Source organism: Homo sapiens, chromosome 7, assembly GCF_000001405.40.
Source record: "Homo sapiens chromosome 7, GRCh38.p14 Primary Assembly".
NCBI classification, from domain to species: domain Eukaryota; kingdom Metazoa; phylum Chordata; class Mammalia; order Primates; family Hominidae; genus Homo; species Homo sapiens.
Genome location: NC_000007.14, coordinates 16222036 through 16246402, shown reverse-complemented (window position 1 = coordinate 16246402; position 24367 = coordinate 16222036). Strand labels below are relative to the sequence as shown.

At 33.8% G+C, this 24367-nt stretch overlaps 1 protein-coding gene and 1 long non-coding RNA gene across 6 annotated transcripts in view; one reads left to right on the top strand and one right to left on the bottom strand.

Moving 5' to 3' along the window:
- The window catches only part of CRPPA (CDP-L-ribitol pyrophosphorylase A), a 334014-nt gene that overhangs the window by 175136 nt on the left and 134511 nt on the right, over nucleotides 1–24367 (top strand). The window lies entirely within an intron of this gene.
- The window catches only part of CRPPA-AS1 (CRPPA antisense RNA 1), a 60119-nt gene that overhangs the window by 24202 nt on the left and 11550 nt on the right, over nucleotides 1–24367 (bottom strand). The window contains exons 2-3 of one of the 2 annotated variants that reach the window (NR_038947.1): nucleotides 10424–10501; nucleotides 9051–9094 (exon numbers count right to left, since the gene is read on the bottom strand). This is a non-coding gene — a long non-coding RNA (CRPPA antisense RNA 1). Of the gene's footprint in view, nucleotides 1–8989; nucleotides 9095–10423; nucleotides 10502–24367 lie in introns of both variants that reach the window. The other variant, NR_038946.1, reaches the window with a different exon arrangement.

Genomic DNA, 24367 nt, shown 5'->3' with positions numbered 1-24367 from the left:
TTGGAGCGATGTGACTTCAACAGGGGAAGTAACTGCTGATGTGGTGGCAATAGCAAGAGAATAGAAGTAGAGTCTGAATATATGACTGAATTGCTGCAATTTCATAAAACTTAGATGGATGAGGAGTTGCTTCTTATGGGTGAGCAAAGAGAAAGTGGTTTCTTGAGATGGAATCTACTTCGGGTGAAGATACTGTGAACGTTGTTGGAATGACAATAAAGGATTTACAATATTATATAAACTTAGTTGATAAAGCAGTGGCAGGGTTTGAGAAGATTAAGTCCAACTTTGAAAGAAAGTCTGTTGTGGGTCAAATGCTATCAAACAGTATCCCATTCTACAGAGAAATTTTTTTTATGAAAAGAAGGATCACTCTAGGCAGCGAACTATGTTGTTGTCTTATTTTAAGAAGTTGCCACATCCACCCAACCTTGAGCAACCACCACCGTGAACAGTCAGGAGCCATTATGCAAGCAAAAAGATTAGGACTCGCTGAAGGCTCAAATGTTCATTAGGATTTTTAGCAATACACAGTTTTAATTTAAGATATGTATATTATTGTTTGGTCATAATGCTATTGTGCACGTAACGGATGATAGTATAATGTAAATATGACTTTTATATGACATGGGAAATAAAAAATTTCTTGTGACTCATTTCATTGTGATATTTGCTTTATTGGCTCCAGTAGTCTGGAGGGAAACTCCCAATATTTTTGAGGTATGCTTGTTACTTTCCCATTGCATAGGCTGACTTAGTGTGGTGATATTATGAGCATTATTACCTTAATAGAAAAATGTGTCACTAGATTATGTCTAGAATCTGTATCCATAGGATGGAGCAAATCACTAGAAAGGGTACAGTAAGTAATGCTGGCTTCTTGGATGGAGAGGCAAGTGAATAGTGTCTGGGTGTTTGAATTGTCCTGTCAGTGATTGTGAATATGACTGATCAGGCTTCATCCTTTTTCCTTCTGATACCACCTTCACCAAAAATGGCCAGAAAGCAATTTCAGTTTTCCTATTAATGAAAATTTGGCAGAACATTTCAAATGTGCACCAAATTAATAGATGTATGGAAAATATGATAATTATAAAAGAGTAAAATGAAAGTCTTAAATCTAGATATATCACAGTTTGCTCATTAGTAAGAGGGAAAACTACTGATACACATACATACATAGAGTGTTTGCATGTGCAAATTCATATGCAGACATGTATACATATGTTTGTAATTGGAAAATTGCCTATCAGGCACTTCAGAGGCTATAGTGTTCTCTGTCATTCTGTCTGAATTAACTTTTCTGGAAGATTAAACCAAGAAAGAGGCCCTACCACAAGCTTTTTTTTTTTTTTAAATGTAAGACTTTTGTTAAAAAACTTTAAAATTTGAAAAGAATGGTCAAAAGGAGTGTGATCACTTGCTTCCCTAAACAAGTAGGTTTTATTCATCAGAAAATATATTACAAAATGATATCAAAGTTATAGAAAAATATGTCTGTTCTTATTTTTGAGTTATGTGATTCCACAGATATTCAGTGCATTTATTGTAAATGTTTAAAGGCCATTTTGTCTTGGCTGAGATTTGCAATGGTTTACAACGGTTCTTTTTCTTATACAAGGGTCTTCAAGTTCCAATTTCAGTCCATCTGAAGTAGCCAAGTAAAATTGTGGCTATTAGACATTTATGAGGCTTTTCAATGGAGAGACTAGTTAAGGTTGTCATTTGCAGCGTCATCACTTTTTACTCTACAAGAACAGATATTTAAAGAAAAATGAGGCTGAATGTCAACTTAGGTGGGCATTTGGCAAAAACAACATTGGGTTAGGTTTAAGTGGTAGAAATTTGTTTCAGCATACAATACTGATGAAACCTCCATTGTCTCTTACGTTCTCAAGTATATAAAAATACTTTGGAATTCCCTGGTATCTGTCATTCAATAGATATTCTAAAGGGTCATGTAACTTTGAACCTCATCTATATTATTTCTCCTGGAAGAAGTTAAGCAGTGAGTGGATAGTTAATGGTGCTTGGTTGTTGGTACATTGGTATCTAGCATAATTGGATTTTATTTTTAGGTTCTGCAGAGATCTTGACTACATGAAGATCAACTTTTTGTCTCTAATGAAAGGTGAAATGGGCTAGAGATTATTTAACGTGGGAAATTTTTGTTAGCTAAGATAAATTGGCACTAGTAAGAGGCTACTATTCTAAGATCCACTTACAGAAGGGAACAAATTTTCACCATGAAGAGCAGAAAAAAAAAATTGAGACTTTGTTTTTAAAAGAACTAAGATACTTATTAAAATAGTCTTATCTTCTTAAAATCCTTTAGGTTATGTTTGCAAAATTAAGCTTTTTGTATAATCTTGTAGACATTATATAATAGTATGCTGTGATATGCTTCATTTCAAGTGGTTATTGGTTGATTGATTGACTGAGACAGGATCTCACTCTATTGTCTAAGCTGGAGTATACTGTGATCATAGCTCAATGAAGCCTCCATCTCCCAGGCTCAAGTGATCCTCCTGCCTCAGCCTCCTAAGTAGCTGGGAGTACAGGTGCACACCACTATGCCTGGCTAATTTTTTTAATTTTTGGTAGAGATGAGGTCTTGTTGTGCTGCCCAATCTGGTCTTAAACTCCTGAGCTCAAGCAATCTTTCCACCTTGGCCTCCCAAAGTGTTGGGATTACAGACGTAGCCACTGCACCCAGCTTTGAGGTGGTTATTTTTTCTAAAATATTTTTAGGGTACTTCTAGATTTCTAAAAATATTCATTATTAATCCTTTGATATTAGAAATATTTTTGGACCATCTCTTCAGTCATTATTCTCCTTTATTTTTATATGTTTCATGTAGTCTTCTTTTGAGAAGTTCTCATTTCTATGCTATTTAGCATGATTTAAGGAGTCTGCCAATATTACTTTGACCAACTTAATAAAATACTTATGTTTTGCTAGATGTAACTTTATTTTATTGTAATTATATTGAGTTCTCAGAATTCTACAGATTTTTACCATCATCTGTTAGTCTGTTTTCACACTGCTATAAAGATACTACTCTAGACAGGACAACCTGTAAACAAAGGAGGTTTAATTCTCACAGTTCCACATGGCTGGGGAGGCTTCAGGAAACTTACAATCATGGTGGAAGGAGAAGCAGGCACCTTCTTCAAAAGGCGACAGGTGAGAGAAGAATGAAGGAGGAACTTCCAAACACTTACAAAACAATCAGATCTCAGGAGAACTCACTATCACGAGAACAGCATGGGGGAAACCACCCCCATGTTTCAATTGCCTCCCTCCCTTGACACATCAGGATTATAGGTCCCGCCTTTGACATGTGGGAATTACAATTTGAAATGAGATTTGGGTGGGAACACAGACCCAAACCATTTAGAGACTGGTGGTGATATTGATTACTTGAAGTAAAGCAGATTTCAGCATTAAGTGGCCTGAAATTGTCGTGTGGGTCATATTATAAATGTTCTGTTCTTAATGAATCTGTATGTTAGTATGACATTATGATTCTATGCAGTCTTTTAACTGTGAGCTTTTAGAAATACTTGCCTGATAACACCACATCTTATACTAAGAGAATATCCCTGCTTAGGTGAAAAAAATTTTTTTTTAATTGGAGACTGGTCAGCATAACGGAATTTTACAAGTTTAGATCCCTTATGTCTTAAGAAGAAAAATCTAATGCTACAAACCAGCACTTTCTTTTGTAAAAATAAAATTCTATCAGAATTATGTTTGAAACTTTTTTCATATGTGATTTTTCTAAATGCTTAGTCTATACTCTGTTGTCGAGGAGCTCAATTTTTGCCCTGATTTGACTGAAGTTATTGTTAGCCTTCTGTTCGTTGCATTTACGGGGGTGTGTAGTATTGCTACCACCTCTGTCAGATTGCATTTTTCCAAAAGGATTTTCTAAAAGTTTTTTGGGTGGTGACCTGTCACAAAAGATATGATATGAACATGGGACATATCCAGTTCTCTGTTTTCTACTCTTAAGTGTTTTTGTTCATTAAGTAATGATGAAAACATTCTTAGAAAAAGGAAGTAATATAGTAAATGTGTTGCAGTACTAAAAGGTAAATTCATAAAATTTCTCATGTAAAAATCACTTTAAAAAGATTAGATTTGGCTGGGCGCGGTGTCTCAAGCCTGTAATCCCAACACTTTGGGAGGCAGAGGTGGGCAGATCACGAGGTCAGGAGATTGAGACCATCTTGGCTAACATGGTAAAATCCCATCTCTACTAAAAATACAAAAAATTAGCCGGGTGTGGTGGCGGGTGCCTGTAGTTCCATCCCAGCTACTCAGAAGGCGGAGGCAGAAGAATCGCTGGAACCCGGGGGGCAGTGAACCGAGATCGCACCACTGCATTCCAGCCTGGGTGACAGAGCGAGACTCTATCTCCCCCCAACAAAAAAAAAAAAAAAAAAAAAAGAATAGATTTTTAACTACATTAAACAAGATTTATAGGCCGTAAGAATCTGAACTGTAGGCTGGGTTCCTTGCTTACAAGTTAGTGATCAGAGAGCTGTTTTTTTACCCAGTGATAAAGGAGATTTCAGGAGAAAAAAACGAACTATATGTGTTTTTTAGCGGTATTATGTAAAACCACAAATAATACCTTCCCACATCCAAAAAGTAAAATAAAGTTCCTTATGTATTTGGTTCTGGCAAGGTTTTCCCAAAATATCCTTTTCTACTATTGGATAAAATAGTGGGCAATATTTTGTTATTTAAAGCTTTTTTAAAGAAACACAGCAAGTTCATATAATATGTACCAAATAAGTGTTTAATTGTTAAAAGTGGGAAGAAATTGGCAACAAATCTAAGTTCAAAATATAAAGCACACTCTTTAATTTTACTTGATAAAATAGTTAATCGCATTTTCCATAGCAAAAGTTTTACTGTAATTATCTAGATAATTACATGAGAGCTTTGCTTTTCTCTGCTTGTATATACAATGATTTTATTGGTGTTTTATGAGAGTTAAAAATCTCATGAATTTACTTTAGCTAAAAGCATAAATTACCAGGGGGAATTTTAATACTGTGAGAAACATAACCTTCAAAAGTATTGAATTGAGTTCTAGTTATTAGGAAGTAGTTTATTGACATTACAATAAATTATCTTTAAAATACTTGAAAATATTTAGTATTTGAACAGGTCAGCAAATTAAAAAAAGAAAAGAAAAGAAAGTCATCATCCATTTACACTTGATATTTTCACATCTGGAGAAACTGTCACAGATGTAAATTGTTTCCAGAATGTTCCAAAGCTCACCAGTGGCAGAGCCAGCAACTGAATCAATCTAGTGTATTACTGTGTATCATATATACTTGTTATTTTTATGTTCTCATGAATGTGCTAAGTAATAGCATGGAAAAAGTAAAAATATACACACATATATGTGTTTAATATTCCTTCTTAATAAAAAATGACAATTTAAAAAACATAGTGATTCCTTCTGTGTGCTAATGGCTTCTTACTTTAGCTTCATAGAGGGTACTGAGCCTTACTGAATTTGTTATAAAAATCGATGATGCTGTTAAATTTAATACCAGATCCCAGACATATCTTTCTCATCTTTTACTTACCTGCTTATTCCTCTGTTAACTCTATTATTACTAGACTAGGAAAATGTGTTTTCAAGGCACAAGTTCATATCAAACAAAAGAGCTGGCTATTTTAGTTCTCACTGCATCCATATTGGGTTTACTTTTTATTATCTGTTTCAGGTCCCTGATAGTTTACATTTTTAAATGAATAGTGTGTGTGTGAATGTGTGTGTGTGTGTGTGTGTGTGTGTGTATGTGTAATAACCAATGATTGACTTTAAGAGCAGGCCAGTCCAAATCCCTGTTCCATTCCTGTCTCAACCTTATTGCTACTGTAGCCTATGGATTCTTCCAATTTTTTTTTAATCAGAAAAACTATAGCTTTATTATATACTGAATTTTTATGTTGGCACTTAAGAGATATTAAAATTTTCTCTTTCATAGTTGTACACTGCTCCAGTGGCAGAAATACAATTACTTGTATAAATTCTATAAATTTTTTCATGCGTTTTCTGCTGATGTAGTAAGTCTCAGGTATTTCCTGCCTAAATCAATGAGAAAACCTAAATAAATACTGGTTAAAAATACCTTTGGAACCTTTATCTAGTTGCAGTCATGAATGGATTCATTTCTAACACAAAAATGAGGAATGATGAAATCATTCTAGTAGGAGATGTTGAATAGAAAGAATTGACGGTGTTGTTGTAACTTTTAGGAGATCTTTGCTTATGACTAAATGGTTAATGGAAAGTTTGTGTTATGGGATATAGAATACTCCCTGAGATTAGTTGTGATGGACATGTAACTGATGTGTAAAGAAATGATTCTCATAGGGCATACCTCGCTAGTATTCATTCTTTTAATGGTAAGTTATTTTCAGATAGAATGGAATTCTGAAGCAATGTGTGAATAAAATGAATTCCAGAGGACTTTGTCTAAGTTTTATGAGTAAATTTTTCTTGATTAAGCATAGAGTTTGGCATTGCTATTTATTTCCCTATTTTAAGTAGTTTTGTCAAGTTGGTCAGATGACTGAGATTGGCAAGATTGTGAATTTATTTTCCAGTGCTATTCTAGTAAATCAGTTTATAACATTTAAGATGAAATGCACAGGAGGCAAAATAAATGAAACTAGACTTTGTTAGGCATTTCACATTGATCGTAGCCCTAGGTAAGAAATTTGAACAATTTATGTGGTCATTCAGTTTTTTAAAAAGATGCCTGGCAACTTCTCTCACTAGTTTTTTTTTTTTTTTTTTTTTTTTTGCTATTGACTTCTATTTAAATAATGGAAATAGACTTTAGCTTTAATTCTCACATGCTATTTCTTTACAAAGATGGAACCAAATATTGTATTTTCAATATCATTTATTAAAGTTAATGGTTATATTTTGTAATTAATACCTAAACTTAATGCAATTTAAGTATGCCTTTTAATATGGCTTTGTTATTATAATATTTAAAAGAGCATTACTTCATGTATAAATGTAACTTGTAAAATGAGCATGGTAAGGATACCAAATCTAGAGTTAAGATTTAAGGCACAAGTACTAGGTCTTCAAATAACAAGTGTCTCTTAACCTGTCCAAGTTACTTAATGTTTTTGAATTTAGTTCAAAATCCTGATCTGTAAACAGAGTGGGATGCCTTTGATGGCATCTAAATGGCTTTTTTTTTTTTTTTTTTTTGAGACAGAGTCTTGCTCTGTGGCTCAGGCTGGAATGCAGTGGCATGATCTCAGTTCACTGCAACCTCTGCCTCACAGTTCAAGCAATTCTCCTGCCTCCACCTCCTGAGTAACTAGGATTATAGTCACCTGCCACCACACCTGGCTAATTTTTTGTGTTTTTAGTAGAGACGGGGTTTCACCATTTTGGCCAGGCTGGTCTCGAACTCCTGACTTCAAGTGATCCACCCACCTTGGCCTCCCAGAGTGCTGGGATTACAGGCATGAGCCACTGTGCCCAGACCTAAATGGCTTCTTTTTCTAAAAATATTTTCTATACTAGAACATGCTGTGAAGTCTTTTTGCTTTCATATGCTCTTATGCATGATTTTAATGTGTAGATTTAGCAGAATAATTTAGGTTTTAACAGTCATGTTAAACATGAATCAGGTGATATGGTATTCCTATTTCAAGCCATTTTTGAGACCTTCTATGTTAATTCTTATCACAAGACTCATAGGTTATTTTGATGTTTTCTCTTGTATTTGTCCATTTCTTATCCTCCTTTTTTATGTCCAATTTTTACAGATTAAGTCTAAATTTTCCATTTTTGTGTTTCATTGTTTTTTCTTTCTGCTTAGTAACTGTTACAAAATATTTTTTCATCAGTGAATCTATCCTTTCATGTCTATCCAAGCCCTTCCATCTGAGAATGACTCCATATTGAGTAATGCTCACACTGTTTCTTCTTACCAATTCATTTTAAACTTATTTTATATATACTATCCAGTTAGCACTTGGCAGGGAATGATCTTATTCTCTCCCTTACCTAATAGATTACTTAATATGGATTCACATAGTATTGATTTAATGTCTGTGCGATAGATATTTTGGCCTACATGGAGCTTATTTGATAATATAATCTTTTTTAAAAAAACAGCATCTTACTTTAGATTTCTGAAATATTCTATATAAGCTAATTTTCCAGGTTATTATATATTAAGGAAATAATTGTATTGGTCTGTTTTTTTCTAAAATAAGGATTCATAATAAGAGTTTACTTAAAATGACCAGAGTTAGCCAGGAAAGTACTTTAGTGACTGGGAGTTGACAAATTCCCTGGTCCCTTTCCCTTCTATCTACCATCTAAGGTTTGAGAAATTTAGCTAGGTGTGCTTGAAAAAGAGGCAATTTAGCCTGGAGAAGTCATCTTAAGGATGTGAGAGGAAGCCAAGATTTGGAAGACTGAGCAGGGTCCAACTCTGTGAGGAGTGAGAGGACTGGCATTTCTATATGGACAAAGAAGCACATAGAGTGGTTGGAATTAGAAAGAGCCACTGAGTGTGTCTGAAACTGAAGGAATGGCAGATTGTAAAGTGTTGAGTTTGAGCTGGGCCTTCTAAGTTTGAAGTCTATAAAGCAGCACTGCCTAGTATTAATTGATGTGATCAGATTTCCATTTTATACATCCTGGATGCAGGACAGAAAGTAGATTAAAATAAGCAGAAAAATTTGTGGTTTAGTTGGGAGGCTACTGCAGTACAATAGTACAAGAAATAATAGTGGTAGTGAGGACTAGGTTAGTGTATTGGACTGAATGTTTGTGTCCCCTCAAAATTTATATGGTTAACCCCCATAATGATGGTATTAGGAGGTGGGTCCTTTGGGAGGTGATTAGATCTTGAGAGTAGAGCCCTCATCAATGAGATTAATGCCATTTTAAGAAGAGTCAGGGTTTGTTCTCACCACCTGAGGACACAATGAGAAGTTGGCAGTCTGCAAGCTGGAAGACGGCCCTCATGAGTACCTGATGATGCTGGCAATCTGATCTTGTACTTCCAACTTCCAGAACTGTGAGAAATAAATTTCTGGTGTTAATAAGCCATCTGGTCGATGGTATGTGTTATAGCAGGCAAAACAAAGGCAGATAGTTTTAGTGGGAGTGAACAAAATGAAATCAAGATACATTTAAGAGATTAAAGCATTAAGAATTGAAGCTTAAATAAATGAGAGAAAAGAAGTATAACCTCTAATTTTATGTCTCATAAAACTTGGCGAATGATAGTAAGATACGGAAGATTAGAGAGGGAACTTTGTGGTTTGTTTTTTAAGGTTGAATAGGCAGATGAAGATCCCAGATTTTTTGGCAAAGTATAATTAAAAAGATTTTATTCATATTCAAAAGTTTGTGTGTGTGTGTGTGTGTGTGCGCGCGCACGAAAGCTCTTAAAGCTTACTTTGAAAGGCAAGTTAGACTCCTTTGTGACTTTCTTAATATTGAATTTTAATAGAGTTCCAGGGATAGACACAATTTAAAATATATCTTTTATATTACAATGTCTTTTCCAAGCCTTCTATAGTGTCTGTATGGTAGATGATTTTTTTTAGTGAAATCCTTTTTACTGTAATACTTCATATTCTGAAAAATAAAAACAGAAAAAAACCTTTTCTATTGGTTGAATTATTGGCAGACAGGAAGATGGTAAGAATATTACCAGGCTTATATGCTGTTGCCTTAGGATTAAGATCTGTAGCCACCTAAAAATAGATTACTTTTGCAGGTTTTGGAAAGCCTGAACTGTTCTTGTATGGAAAGTATAGAAAGCTAATGGAATCAGTGCCAGAAACTTCTAGATTCAGATTTTTTTGGCTTGAATCCTGTTAGCAATAAGTTTAAGTGTGATACTTTTGAAAAGTATAATATGATTCAATTTTCTGGGTACCAGAGATTTTGTTTTATGGAATTATGGAACTTAATTTTACTTAAATGCTCAATACTTAAGCTTAATTCTACTTTTACTTGCTAAGGTGGAATGTAGCAAGTGTTGTCAAGGTAGTCCCAGAGTCAATACTGAAAAACTTATTTGGGAACAGTAGGACAGGCTAAAGTCACCAGCATGACTCCTCTGCCTACTGAGTAGTATTTCCACTTCGAGAATATAGTGAGAGGCCTCTAGATTTAAATTTTCTTAGTTAATGTATTTATAGAATGACTGAGTTCTGAGTTGTTTCCTCAACTATCAAAAATCCAACTATGAGCTTGTGTTTCTTGCTCTTACCATTGATATGAGATGGAACTTCAAATACATTTATAATTTCCAGAGCCCTCCCAGCAAATGTGGCCTGCTAATGTATATTATTAGTATAATTAGGTTAATGTTAGTAATAACAGACACTTACTGAAAAGCTTGAAATGATGAGTCACCGTTCTTTTCTTTTAAAATGAATGATCCCAGGGCTTTAGTCTTCAGAGCAACCCTGAGAGTTGATTATCACAGATAGCATTATCCCCAGTTCAAAATTAAGCCTAGTGATCATTTCACTGTATCACATAATGTTCATGAGTAATGCCAATGCTTGCCCTTTTCGAATAGTACAAACCTATTTTGTTACAAGGGAAAAGGATCTTGAAAATCATTTAGTAGAATGCTCTCATTTTAAAGAAGTAACTCAAGCCCTTTCTTTGCCTGGCTCTAAGATACCTTCTTTTACTTTAGGAATAGGCAATTTTTTCCTGTAAAGAAACAGATAGTAAATATTTTAGGCTTTGTGGCCTGTCTACACAGTCTTTGTCACAACTATCAACTCTGCTGTTTTCATGTCAAAGCAGTCATAGACAATATGTAAAAGAATGGGTATGGCTGTATTCCAGGAATACTGTATTACAAAATAGGCAGCAGACCAGGCTTGACCCATACTTTGCTGATTTTTGATATAGATTTTCAATCTGAAATGACCTAGTTTGCCACAGTTATTAGTACCTTTATCCTGCATGTGTTAGGCATTTCTTTAACAGACATGCACTCTCTGGGTCATGAAGCCTCACGATTTAAAGTATTACTCATACACTGACTTACGTGTTTTTATCCCTACATGTCATCCTATCTCAAAGTTTTGATAGAAATGTTCAAATGCATGCAGTTTAAATGTTTGAAAGTCTTTTTCCTTCTCTGAACTATTCATCTCAACTTCTCTCTTTTGTTTCCAAATGAGCTTACCATAGCCACCGTGAGAGATTTTGCTAGTATAAATTTACCAAGTTACTCTCCTTATTGAAAACTTTCAGATGCTTCTCATCTCTTAATGGACAAAACTCAGATCATAAAGCCTTGGCCTGGTCTGGCTCTTCCCTAATTCTACTGTTCTGTCTTTCTCATTTCCTTATTGAGTAGTTTGCCCTCTGGAAATACTAAGTTATTTATAGTTCTCCACATGTACCCTGTGACCTGACTTAGATGTGTTTCCTGCATGAGTTTTTCTTTCTACCTGAAACACCTTCTTTTTTTAATTGTTTACTTGCCAAACTCTCCTTAAAAATTTGAGTGACATTTCCTCTTGCAATCCTTCCCTAATACCTTTGTGCTCATATCCCTTCTCCTTTGAGAAGTCAGCATGTGTAGATATTCAGAAACATTTGTTCATTTGAACATGACTTGATGTTCCAAGTTATGTTGTCTCCTATCGTACCCTGTTCTAGTGCTGTCTTCTACAACGAGGTGCTTTGTGATGACTTGCAGAAAAGAAGGAGGCAGATATGAGGAAATAATAAAAATTGCAACTCAAGTAATGGCTACATTCTATTAAGGAGAATAATAGTAGTTGTGAGTTTTTATGACATTTACAGTATATAAGTTTAAACTTCATGCATTTTACTATCTTGATCTTTTTAGTAGAATTCAATTAAAAAATTTTTCATTTTGCCTTTTAGAAAAACGTTTTTTATTTCAAAATTGTCTAACTTACAAGTGCCTGCTTTTAGTTTTTATGAAGCATCTTATTGTGTCAATAAATGACTGCTTATGTCTTATTTTAAATTGTTTTCTGTATGTGTCCTGAACAGTAGTATTAACCTTTGAAGTATTTCTCATTTCTAAATGGGACTTCATTTTCCTCTTAAAAATTAAATTTGGGGAGTGGTATTCAAACTTTTTGTTGGAGATAGCATCCTTTATTTAACCCAGAATAAATTTTAAATGGATCGCTACTATATTAAGTAAACCAAAAATTACATTATGAACACTAAATTGCTGTTTTAGTTTATATGTGCAACATTTAGAAATGTTAAGTTGAAAACAAAAGTTTGAAATAAAATATTATGAGTGATAATTGTTCTTTTTTCCTGTCTCCTTTTATTTGGATTATATAGTAAACTGGCTGCCCTATTAAATACTGATAATATTAACAGGTACAGAAGCATTTTTTCTTGCAGTTGATCATTTTCAATTAAACGGACCCAGCAGCCTGAAAGTGAATAGCCTCTACCCTTGTCATAAATATAAAGTAGAACAAAAGTTACCTTCAAACTTAAAATAAATGCTAATATTACAGTATGTCAACAGAATTTGATATTTCACTCATTCATTTATTGTTGCAAAGCCAAATCCCCATCTGTGAAGACTGGGATAAGTATCTGCTTCTTCAAATGTGCATTACGATTGTACCCGATTATGAAAGCATGTGCCAAACAGATGCTCCCTTGCTCTGGCTGGCCATTTAATTGAGCTCAGCATCCATGTGCTGAGATGGTATACATCATTGTACTGTCTTATGTGTGCAGACATGCATTGAATTTTAAACAACAGTATTTTTTGTATTAGTCACTGTAGTTTTCCTCTCTAGAAGTTTGATTTAGGTCCTTTTTAATATATTCTCTAATTCTTGAATATATGTGATTTAATTACAAAAACCATTATAATATCTTTGAAGATTCTGATGCCTATCAGTTCTGGGTTAGATTGAAAGGAAGTATGTATCTCCTCATTATGGGTCACAGTGTCTTCCTCCTTTCTTTGCCTAAGATTTTTCTTTTTTGCGTGCATACTTAAGATGTGTTGATATGTGGTTTTAACATTTTCATTCAATTAGGAATGTCTTCAGCATTAATTATTCAAATGTTTTTCTGTTGTTTTCCCAACTTACTGGCAACTCTTATTACCTGTTTATTAGGCTGACTAAATATGATCCATATCTCACTGGTGGTCTGTTTAATTTCCTCTTTTTGCCTTCTTTTTTTTTGCTGTTTAATTTAAAATCGTTTTTATGGCTGTGTCTTCAAGTTTACTAATCTTTAATATCAAATTTTCTGTTAATTATTTCTAGTGGGGGTTTTAAAAATATCACATGTTTTAGTTTTCATCTCTTGAAGTTAGAGTTAGGTCTATTTTACATCTGTGCTTAATATGTTCAGTCTTTCCTATAGTTTTTGAACAAATGGAACATAGTTTTAATAACTGTTTTAATGTTCTTAGTTCTAATATTGGTGTCAGTTGGGTTGGTTTTGTTTGATTTTTCTCCTCATAATCGGCCATATTTTCTGCTTTTTAAAAGGTTTGGTATTTAAGCTATTAGACATTGTGAATTTTATCTTAGGTGATGGATGTTTTTGTATTCTTATAAATATGAGCTTTGTTCCAGATGTAAGTAATTAAAAACAGTTTGATCCATTTAGGTCTTGTTTTTTTGATCTTTCAGCAGGACTAGTATATTTAGTGTAGAGATAATTATTTCCCACAACTGAGGGAAGACCCTTCTTTATACTCAACCTAATGCCCTGTAAATTATTGTCTTACTTACTGTGTTTTCTGGTGTTAGAATAACATGAACTGGGCAATTTATAAAGAAAAGTGATTTATTTGGCTCATGATTCTGGAGACTGGCAAGTCCAAGAGCATGCTACTGACAATTGGTGAAGATCATCCCTTAGTGGAAGGGCAGAAGGTGAGAACAAGTGCACATGGCAGAGAGAAGTGGGCTGAACTCATTCTTTTTGTCAAGAACACATTTCTGCAGTAACTAATCCATTCCCATGATAAAGGCATTAGTCCCTTCATAAGCGCTCATGACCTTATCACCTCTTAAAGGCCCTATCTCTTAATACTGTTACAGTGGCAATTAGGTTTTAATGTGAGTTTTGGTAGGGAAATTTAAACCATATTAATTATGAAGTTTTCTAGTATGGCTCATGGCTATTGCCAATTTTTCCAACCCTGTGTGTGCATTGAGTACTGTTCCTTCTAGGCCTTTGACTAATTTTCTCACATAGGTGCACAGATCAGTTCTCTGCTGTCTGTATGAGGAAGATATTCTGATGTTCTATAGAGCTCTCTCACTGTGAAGCTCTCTCCTCTCTGGTACTCTACCTGTGACTCTATTCTGTCTACCTTGGTCTCCCCAGATTCTTAACTTCATCTCTCAATTAAAAGAAATGAAATCTGGATTCCTCCATGTACCATGTCCTGAAACTCTCTTGCGGGCAGTAGGATGGGGTACATGTACAGCTCACTTTGTTTTGTGTCTCTTAGGGATTATTTCTTCATTGTATCATGTATAATGTCTTTAAAAAACATTGTTTTATATAGTTTGCTTTTTAAAAGTTGGTTGAGGTAGAAAGACAATTTCATCCCTAGTACTCCCCCCTTGGGTAGAAACAGAAACTGGATTCATCTAAATTTTGAGTGTTTAATTTTTACACATTTAATATTCATCCACATTTTTGGAAATTTTTTTATGTAAATAAGAAAAAGTTCAGTCTGTTTTAGCTTAGACTGTGTAATTTTGCCTGTTCAAGATCTAATTTTTCACAGTGGGATTTTAAGTAGTAACGTTAGGTAGGAATAAAAATTCCTTTGCAGTATGGATGTGTAAATTAATGATCAAAAATATTTAATGGGATATATGACCACAAATCATAATATATAAGCACTGCTTTTGTTTAGACAAGCCCTTTCCATTAACACTTTTTACCATGATAACATGTTCTGGATGGGTGGAACAAGATGACAAAGCAGGATTATCCACTGATTGTCACCCCACCACCAGAAACATCAATTTGAACAACTATCCACATGTGAAAATACGTTCACAAGGGCTAAAGAAACCAAGTGAGAGATTTCAGTACCTAGCTGTAGCATGGTAGTAAGAAAATATGCATTGAAGACAGTAGGAAGGACAGTTTGTTACCTGTGTTACTCCTCCCCAACTCTGGCAGCATGGAATAGGGAAGAGACATTGTTCACTTAGGGAAAAAGAAGGAAGTGAGCATAAGATTTTACCTTGAACCCCAACACTTGGCCCACCACAATAATACTCAACACCAGGGTGATCCCCACAGCTTTGTATTTCAAGCCAGTAACTGCAGACTGAGCCTCTAGACCAGCTGCAGCACTAGGTGGGACCCCAGAGCCCCAGGCTTCAGTCTTTCTTGGTAAACTCAATCTCCATCTTATACCACCACCAGACTTGTGTCAGTCCTCTGAACAGCACTCAGCAGCAGCAGGTGGCCCCTCGCTTCTGGCCAGTTCCAGTGCAACAACTGATGTAGTGAGCCCCAGGCTTCTGGCATTGTCACACCTGCTACAGAGCTATACCAGGCAAAGCCAAATCCCTATCTGTGAAGACTTGGATAAGTATCTACTTCTTCAAATGTGCAGACATTGACAAATGACCAAAAGCATCAAGAACAATCAAGAAAACATTACATGACCATATGAAAAAAATGTGGTACAAGTGACTGACCCTAAAGAAATGGAGACATGTGAGCTTTCTGACAAAGAATTCAAAACTTTAAGGAAGCTCAGCAAACTTGAAGAAAATACAGAGAAACAATTCAACACAATGAAGAAAACAGTGACCAGAATGTGAAATATAATCAGATGGAAATAATATTTTTAGCTTCTACTAGATGATGCATGAAACAATTTTCAAAAAATCAAATCCTGGAGGTGAAAATACAATGTAGGGAATGAAAAATGCAATAGAGTGCATCAACAGCAGAATTGGCCAAGCACAAGAAAGAACCTGAACTTGAAGACAGGTTATTTTGAAATAAATAGAAGAAGAAAGAAATAAAGGAATGAAGAAAGGTTATAGGGTTTATGGTACAGCATCCAAAGAGCCAATCTTTGAGTCACAGGCATTAAAGAAGGAGAAAAAGACAGAAAGCTTACTTAAATAGTAACAATTGTTTTTAATTTTGGAGAACAGTGTAAATATCCAGGTACAGAAATGTCAAAGGTCTCCAATCAAATTTAAACCAAATAAGGTGACTCTCCAAGACATATTATAATAATGCTATCAAAAATCAAAGACTAAGAAGATCCTGAAAGCAGCAAGAGAAAGGAAGCAGATAACATAAAGGAATTCAAATATAGCTAGCAGCAGACTTTTTGGCAGAAATCTTGTAGGCCAGGAAAAAACAAAAGGATATATTTAAAATGCTGAAAAGGGGGAAAAAAAACTGTCAGCCAAGAATAGTGTACCCAGCAAAGGTGTCCTTCAGAAATGAAGAAAAGATGAATACTTTCCTGGACAAACAAAAGCTGAGGGAGTATATCACCACCAGACCTGATACACAAGAAATGCTAATGGGAATCCTTTCAGCCAAAAAAAGCACAACACTAATGAATAATATGAAAACATTTGAAAATATAAAACTTATTGGTAAAAGTATACAGTGAAATCCACTATACTCATGCTGTAATGGTTGTGTGTAAATCATTTTTATCACTAGTTTGAAGGCAAAAAGGCAAACCTATTAAAAATAGTAACAAATTTAAGGATATGCAATATGAAAATTGTGACATGAAAAATACTAAATATGGAGGAGTGAGTGAAGTAAATGTGTAGTGTTTTTGTTGTTAAAATCAAAGTGTTCATCACCTTAAAACAATTTAATGTGGTTTTTGTAAGCATCATGGTAACCACAAAGCAAAAACTTATATTAGATACACAGAAAATAAAAAGCAAGAAATTAAAAACATAACACTAAAAAAATTTACTTGGCCACAAAGGAAGATAGAGGAAGAAAGGAACAAAAATTGGCAAAACAACTAGAAAACAATGCACAAAAATGGCAGTTGTAAGTCTGTACCTATCAATAATTATCTTGAATGTAAGTATATTTTTCCAATCAAAAGACATAAAGTAGCTTAATAGATTTTTAAAAATCCAACAATATGCTGCCAAAGAGAGACTAATTTTACCTGTAAGGACACACACAAACTGAAAGTGAAGGGATAGAAAAAGATGTCCCATACAAATTGAAACAACAACAAAAAAGTAGGAGTAGCTGTATTCATGAGGTAAAATATACTTTTAGCAAATAAATATAAAAAGTCATTATATAATGTCAAAGGGATCAAGTAAGAAGATAGGACAGTTGTGATATATGCAACCAATGTTGGAATACCTAAATATATAATATGAAGCAAATATTAATAGATCTGAAGGGAGAGAAAAACTGCAATGCAATAATTGTAGGGTACTTTAACATCTGCTACCAGCAATGAGCAGGTTAACCAGAAAACCAATAAGGGAATGTTGGACTTAAACTATGCTCTTGATCAAATAGACATAACAGACATACATAGGATATTCAGTCCAAGAGTTGAACAGCTGAGGAGTACACACTCTTCTCAACTGCACATGGAATATTCTCCAGGGTAAATCATGTTAGGCTATGAAACAAGTGTTAAAATACTTAAGATTGAAATTATACCAAATAATATTTTCTGACTACAAAATATGAAACTAGAAATGAGGAACTGGAGGACTTTGGAGAATTCACAAATACATGGAAATTAAACATCCTCCTGACCAACCAGAGGGTCAATGAAGAATTTAAAGTTATAATTAAAAAATTCCTTGAGACTAACAAATGGAAACCTAACATACCAAAATCTATGGGATACAGTAAAAGCAGTTCTAACAGGGAAGTTGATAGCAACATACACCTACATCAAAAATGAAGAAATATTTCATTTCACCTACTTTTCACTTGAAGGAACTAGAAAACACAACAAACTAAGCCTGAAGTTAGGAGAAGGAAGGAAACAATATAGAGCAGAAATGAATGAAATAGTGGGAAAATGGTAGAATAGATCTACGAAACTAAGAGTGAGTTTTTTTGAAGGGCTAAAAAAATTGGAAAATCTTTTGCTAGACCCTGAATAGTCAAAACCGTGTTGAGGAAAAAGAACAAAGCTGGAGGGAATCACATTACCTGACTTCAAAATATACTACAAAGATACAGTAACCAAAACAACATAGTACTGGTATATAAATACACATAGACAAATGGAACGTTATAGAATGCCCATAAATCCCATGTTTATAGCCAACGGATTTAGACAAAATTTCCTAGAACACACAATAGAGAATGCACAATCTCTTCAATAAATGTTGTTGGGATAACTGAATATCCACACACAGAAGAATGGAATTAGACCCTTATCTCACACCATATACAAAAACCACTCCAAATGGATTAGGGATTTAAATGTAAGATTAGAATCTATGAAACTACTAGAAGATACATAGGAGAAAATCCTTATGACATTGATCTGGGCAATGACTTATTAGTATGACTCCAAGAGTAATGGCTACGAAAGCAAAAATAGACAAATTGGTGTCACATCAAACTTAAAAGCTTCTGCACAGCTGAGGAAAAATGAAGAGACAACTTACAGAATGAGAGGAACCATACATCTCATATGCGAACTATACATACATCTCATATGCAAACGATACATCTCATAAGGGCTTAATATCAGAATTATGTAAAAAAACTTGGCTCTATATCAAGAAAACAAGATATTAACAAAACAGTAGAAGACCTGAATAGACGTGTCTGAAAAGGAAATAGATGGCCAATAGGTATATGAAAAAATAATATCACTAATCATCAGGGAAGTGTAAATCACAACCACAATGAGATATCACCTCATGCCTATTAGAATGGCTGTTATGAAAAGGACAAAGATAAGTGTTGACAAGAATATGGAGAAAAGGGAACCCATACATTCCCTTGTTAGTGGGAATGTGAATTACCACAGCCATTATAGAAAGCAGTATGGAGATTCCTAACAAATTAAAAATAGAACTAATGTATCATCTACCAACCCCACTACTAGCTACATATACAAAGGAAATGAAATCATTATTTCAAAGAGACATCTGTACTCTTATGTTCATTGCAGCATTTTTCACAATAGCTAGGATATGGAATCAACCTAAGTGTCCACAAATGGATAGATAAAGAAAATGTGATACAAACACAATTAAATACTCTTTGGCCATGAAAAAGAAGGAAATCCTGGCATTTGCAACAACGTGGCTGAATCTGGAGGACATTATATTAAGTGAAGTAAGCCAGGCACAGAAAGACAAATACTGAATGATGTTGCTCATGTGGAATCTGAAAGAGTTGATACTATGGCAGCAGATAGTAGAGGGTTAGGGAAATGTCAAAGATTATAAAATTTCACTTCAATGAGGAATAAAAGATTGATTGTACAGTCTGACTACAATTAATACGTTCTTGAAAAACTCTGAGAGGATATAAAATATTACCACAAAACTGATAACTATGAGGCCATACATATGTATATTGTATAGATTTAGTCATTCCATAACTAATGTATGCTTCAGAACATCACGTTGTGTAAACTTATCAATCTTATCTGCCTATGTGAAAATTAACAAAAAGTTGTATTTCTTTTATATGTGGTAGCCACTATCTAACTGAGGCTATGACCTCTTGAAATATAGCTAAACTGATGACCTGAGTTTTATTTTTAATACTAATAAATTTGAATTTAAATGTAACAGTATATGGCTAATGTCTACTCAAGTGTACAGTGCACTTGTAGACTGTGTTTTATTTGGCCGACCATTGAATTGGGTCTGCTCTATCACATGATGTACCTTCATGGAAAAAAAAATCTGTTCAAAATAAAATGTTAAGTTGGCATTTTATTTTAATCCAGAATATCCCAACAAAGTAAAGCAAAAGTGACCTTCCAGTTTTTCATTGGAAGCACTGTAACTGTAACTTCTTGTTATTATATTTTTTGTCTATGGTCATTCTTTTTACATTTCTTAGCACAGTTCTTCATATATTTTCACATTTTTAATGACAAATTCAGAATAAATATGTATAAGATGTTAATCTTATATATCTACATTGATTTTGATTATTAGATTATCTATTTCCTGGGCTCAAAGAAACCTAAGATTATTTTGCCAAAACATTGTTCCTGAGATTATTAAATAATTACTAATTACCAAGACTTTTAATGATTTGGTTTGCACCTAAGAGAAGGCACAGGATGAATTGGTGGAGGCTTTTCTAATATGACTTGGATACAGTGTATACCTGCCTTACAGGCATCTTGGTCATGTTTTTGAATATTTTTTTTTCTGTGTATTCTGAATACCTCATCTTCTAAAAAGTTTTTTTAAGATTACTTTGCCTTTGGAACACATTAAATATATTTATTTTTAAAAAACTTGCAAAAGTAGGTACATAAAACAGAATCAATTCTTATAGATGAGAAGTAGCATGATGGACTTGTAGTAGTTGGCCTAAATGCAGAAGTCCTCTTTATTTATGAAGTAAACTGTAAAACTGTTTAGTATTTTTTTAAAAAAATGACAAGTAATGCATGCCTACATGGCCTGCAGAGAACCTTAATAATAATTATAGATTGATGCTTAAGCAGTATTAGTTTTTATAATGTAAAATGAAATTTTGACAATTCACTAAAATATGATATTGTAAACTCGGATAAATTTTGGAGAAGCATATACCTGCTTTTTTTGGTAACTTTGGTGATTTATATTCTGACAGTTTTCTTGGAGAAAGTAAATGAACATAGAATTATGTTTTATAGTTAGCTAAACAAATCAATGCTTTATATTAATCAGTGGGATTGTTCTTAACTTTTGATTCTAAAATTTGTTACAGATGTTAATTAAGGTAATTGTAGATGTATGTAATGTTGAGATAATTGTGCCATAATACAACAGTGTTAAAGTATGTTCTTGTAAGAGAGACCACCTTGTAAAATAATTTGAAAAACTATTTATTTTATGACTTAAAATACTTTTGAAGTTAGGTTTTCCTATTAACTGTTTAAAATGTGAGTTTCTGGTTTCATTACTTTGATCTTTTGAATAAGGATTTGAAACAGTGTATACTTATGTAACATTTGTACTGATATTATGAAACTCATTTACTTTTTAATTCTTTGAATCAAAAGAAACATTTAAATATTTTGTATGGTTAATGTTTTAATGCAATGTGTTTTGTTTACTACCTTTTGTTAAATGCCATTATTTCTCCATTTAGTTTTGCCTGTATTTTATTTTGTGAAGATTTACCAGTGACTTGCTAAACATTTGCTTTGAGTTTCCATGATAGTTTATAATTTAGTTTCTATTCATCAGAATTATGAGTTGACTTTGATGATGACTCTGATTTAATTTTGTTCTACAATGAAGTGGTTCACTATTAGAAGCTTATTTTAAGCGTAGCTTATTAAATTAATTAATGGAATCTAATTCTTAAATAGTTGAAATAAGATAGTTTTTCTAAAATCTTTTCTAATCCTTCAGATCAAATATTACTTTGACCTGTTTAGTATCGGCTGGTGTCATCAGTTTTTAGATTCATTATATTTCTTTTGAAAAGTGATGTTTTGAAGATTTTGGGTTTTATTAACACAATTTACTTTTTTATGTACATGTTGATAATTTTGCAGCTATTATGTAGATTCAAAGAATCTCTCTGGTTTATCTACCAATTCTTTCTAACTCATAATAAGAAGTTTCATTTTGACCATCCTTCCTTCCACTTTGGTGGGCATTAAGCAGTGCATTATTTAGGTATATACTTAAGCTTTGGTTCTTAGTGAAATAAACAGAGACTATTTCCCCTCATACCACCAATCCTGACTCCCTTCGCATGCCTTTTATTGTGAACATAGACTCTGCAATGAGACGAAAGTGTTAAATGTGGGGTTTTAAAGACCATCGTGCAGGATACTTACTTATAGTCCTTTAATTAATGTATCCGTTCTCAGAAGTAAAAAATCCCATTTTAAAATATAAAAAGTTAACTGGAATTCATCTGGGACCAGGAATATATTAAATGAATTCTAGACAAACATAAAGCTTGCGTAGAGCTGAGTGTAAAGACACAAAATGCACAGAGGAGCCTTTTCCAAACACCGAGAGCCGGAAACCTCGCCCACCCACAAAGCCATGAGGCTAACCACATGTTAAATGTTTAAGCAGTTTACCAGTTTATATGAGTAAATGTGCTACCTTTCATTAAAATGAAATTAGATATTCTTTTTTGTGGGGGGCAGAAGGATAGGCTTATCTTTTTTATGTATATGTGAGAAAGAACTGTTAGAAATGTCACACTGCATGGGAAATACTGTTTTACTGTAATTCTATTTAGTGAATTAGTGAATGGTACAAAAAGACAAAAAAAAATCTACTTGATGTGTATCTATAAGCAAATCTGCAGTACTCAACCTATATGAAATGTTTGGCTGTATTTAAATGGATGCAAGCCTGTCCAGGCTGTAAGTTTATTTTATTAAGGCAAAAACATTTACATTTCTCTTGAGTTACCATTTTGCAACCCTCTGCTGTGGTTATATAAAACAGCTCTGTTTTTTTAAATTAAAATTGTGATTTTGTACCAACTGAATTTTTTTCCTAGAACACCTAAGTAGTTGGTATATTTTAGAAGTTCAAACTTAGTAGCACTATGTAAAGTATATGCTTAAGTTTCATGGTATTAGGAAGAACATCTGCAGGAGATTGTCTTCTGTTTTCATGTCATCATCACGCCTTTGCATCTGGTAAAGAGAATTTTGAGATGCATCTACTTCTTCATGCTTGAATTTTGTTAACCTAATTATGCATTTCATAAGGTTGAGTTCTGTATCTGTGTTTAAGTTAATTCATGAAAAGAATTTGTAAATACTTCTCCTATGTTTCTTTAATGTCTTAAAGTTTTCCTGTAATTTAAGTAGTTGGTTTGATGGGATAACATAGAAATAAGTCAGTTTGTAGATGGCATCTAAGTAACAAAGGTAATTCTGTAGTTCAAAAAGTTAAATAGTATGTTGAGACTTTTAACATTAAGCAGCGGCATTGTTCCTTAGTCCAGCTGGCATGTGGGTATGTAGTGAGTTACAGGCGCATGCCACCATGCCTGGCTAACTTTTCTATTTTTTGTAGAGACAGCATTTCGCCTTGTTGCCCAGGCTGTTCTCAAACTTCTAGGCTCAAGTGATCTGCCTGCCTCAGCCTCTCAAACTGCTGGGATTACAGGAATGAGCCACCATGCCTGGCCAAGATTGACAAGAGTTAATGTATTGTGTATTTAAAAATAGTTAGAAAAGAGGACTTTAAATGTTCCTAAAACATAGAAATGATAAACGTTCAAGATGATGGTCAGCCTAGATATACTGACTTGATCAATACACATTCTATGCATGTAACAAAATATCACAGTACCCCATAAATATGTAGAAGTATTATGTATCAGTAAAAATTTTTAAAATGTTTTAAAAATGATCAGTAGAATACTTTCAGGAAAAACCTAACTGCTTAAAAATAGTCTCTATAAAAGCCCTCTTAGTTTAAGAAATAATTATATGTTAGAGACGACAATTATTGATCACATTGAAAGAGATTCTTTTAAAAAACTTAATTTACTTAACTGGATAATCACTCTTCTTGAATTTTATTTGTATTATTAATTTCTTAGTAGATGTAATACTGTATTTCTATCTCACCCAGTTAAAAATTACGATTAAGTTGAATGATTTGATGAAAATGCACATACTTTATGTATTTGACTGTAAGCGAAATAGAATATTAGCATTTGGTTTTTCTTTTTTTCTTTTTTTTTTTTAATTATACTTTAAGTTTTAGGGTACATGTGCACATTGTGCAGGTTAGTTACATATGTATACATGTGCCATGCTGGTGCGCTGCACCCACTAACTCGTCATCTAGCATTAGGTATATCTCCCAATGCTATCCCTCCCCCCTCCCCCCACCGCAACACAGTCCCCAGAGTGTGATATTCCCCTTCCTGTGTCCATGTGATCTCATTGTTCAATTCCCACCTATGAGTGAGAATATGCGGTTTGGTTTTTTGTTCTTGCAACAGTTTACTGAGAATGATGATTTCCAATTTCATCTATGCCCCTACAAAGGACATGAACTCATCATTTTTTATGGCTGCATAGTATTCCATGGTGTATATGTGCCACATTTTCTTAATCCAGTCTATCATTGTTGGACATTTGGGTTGGTTCC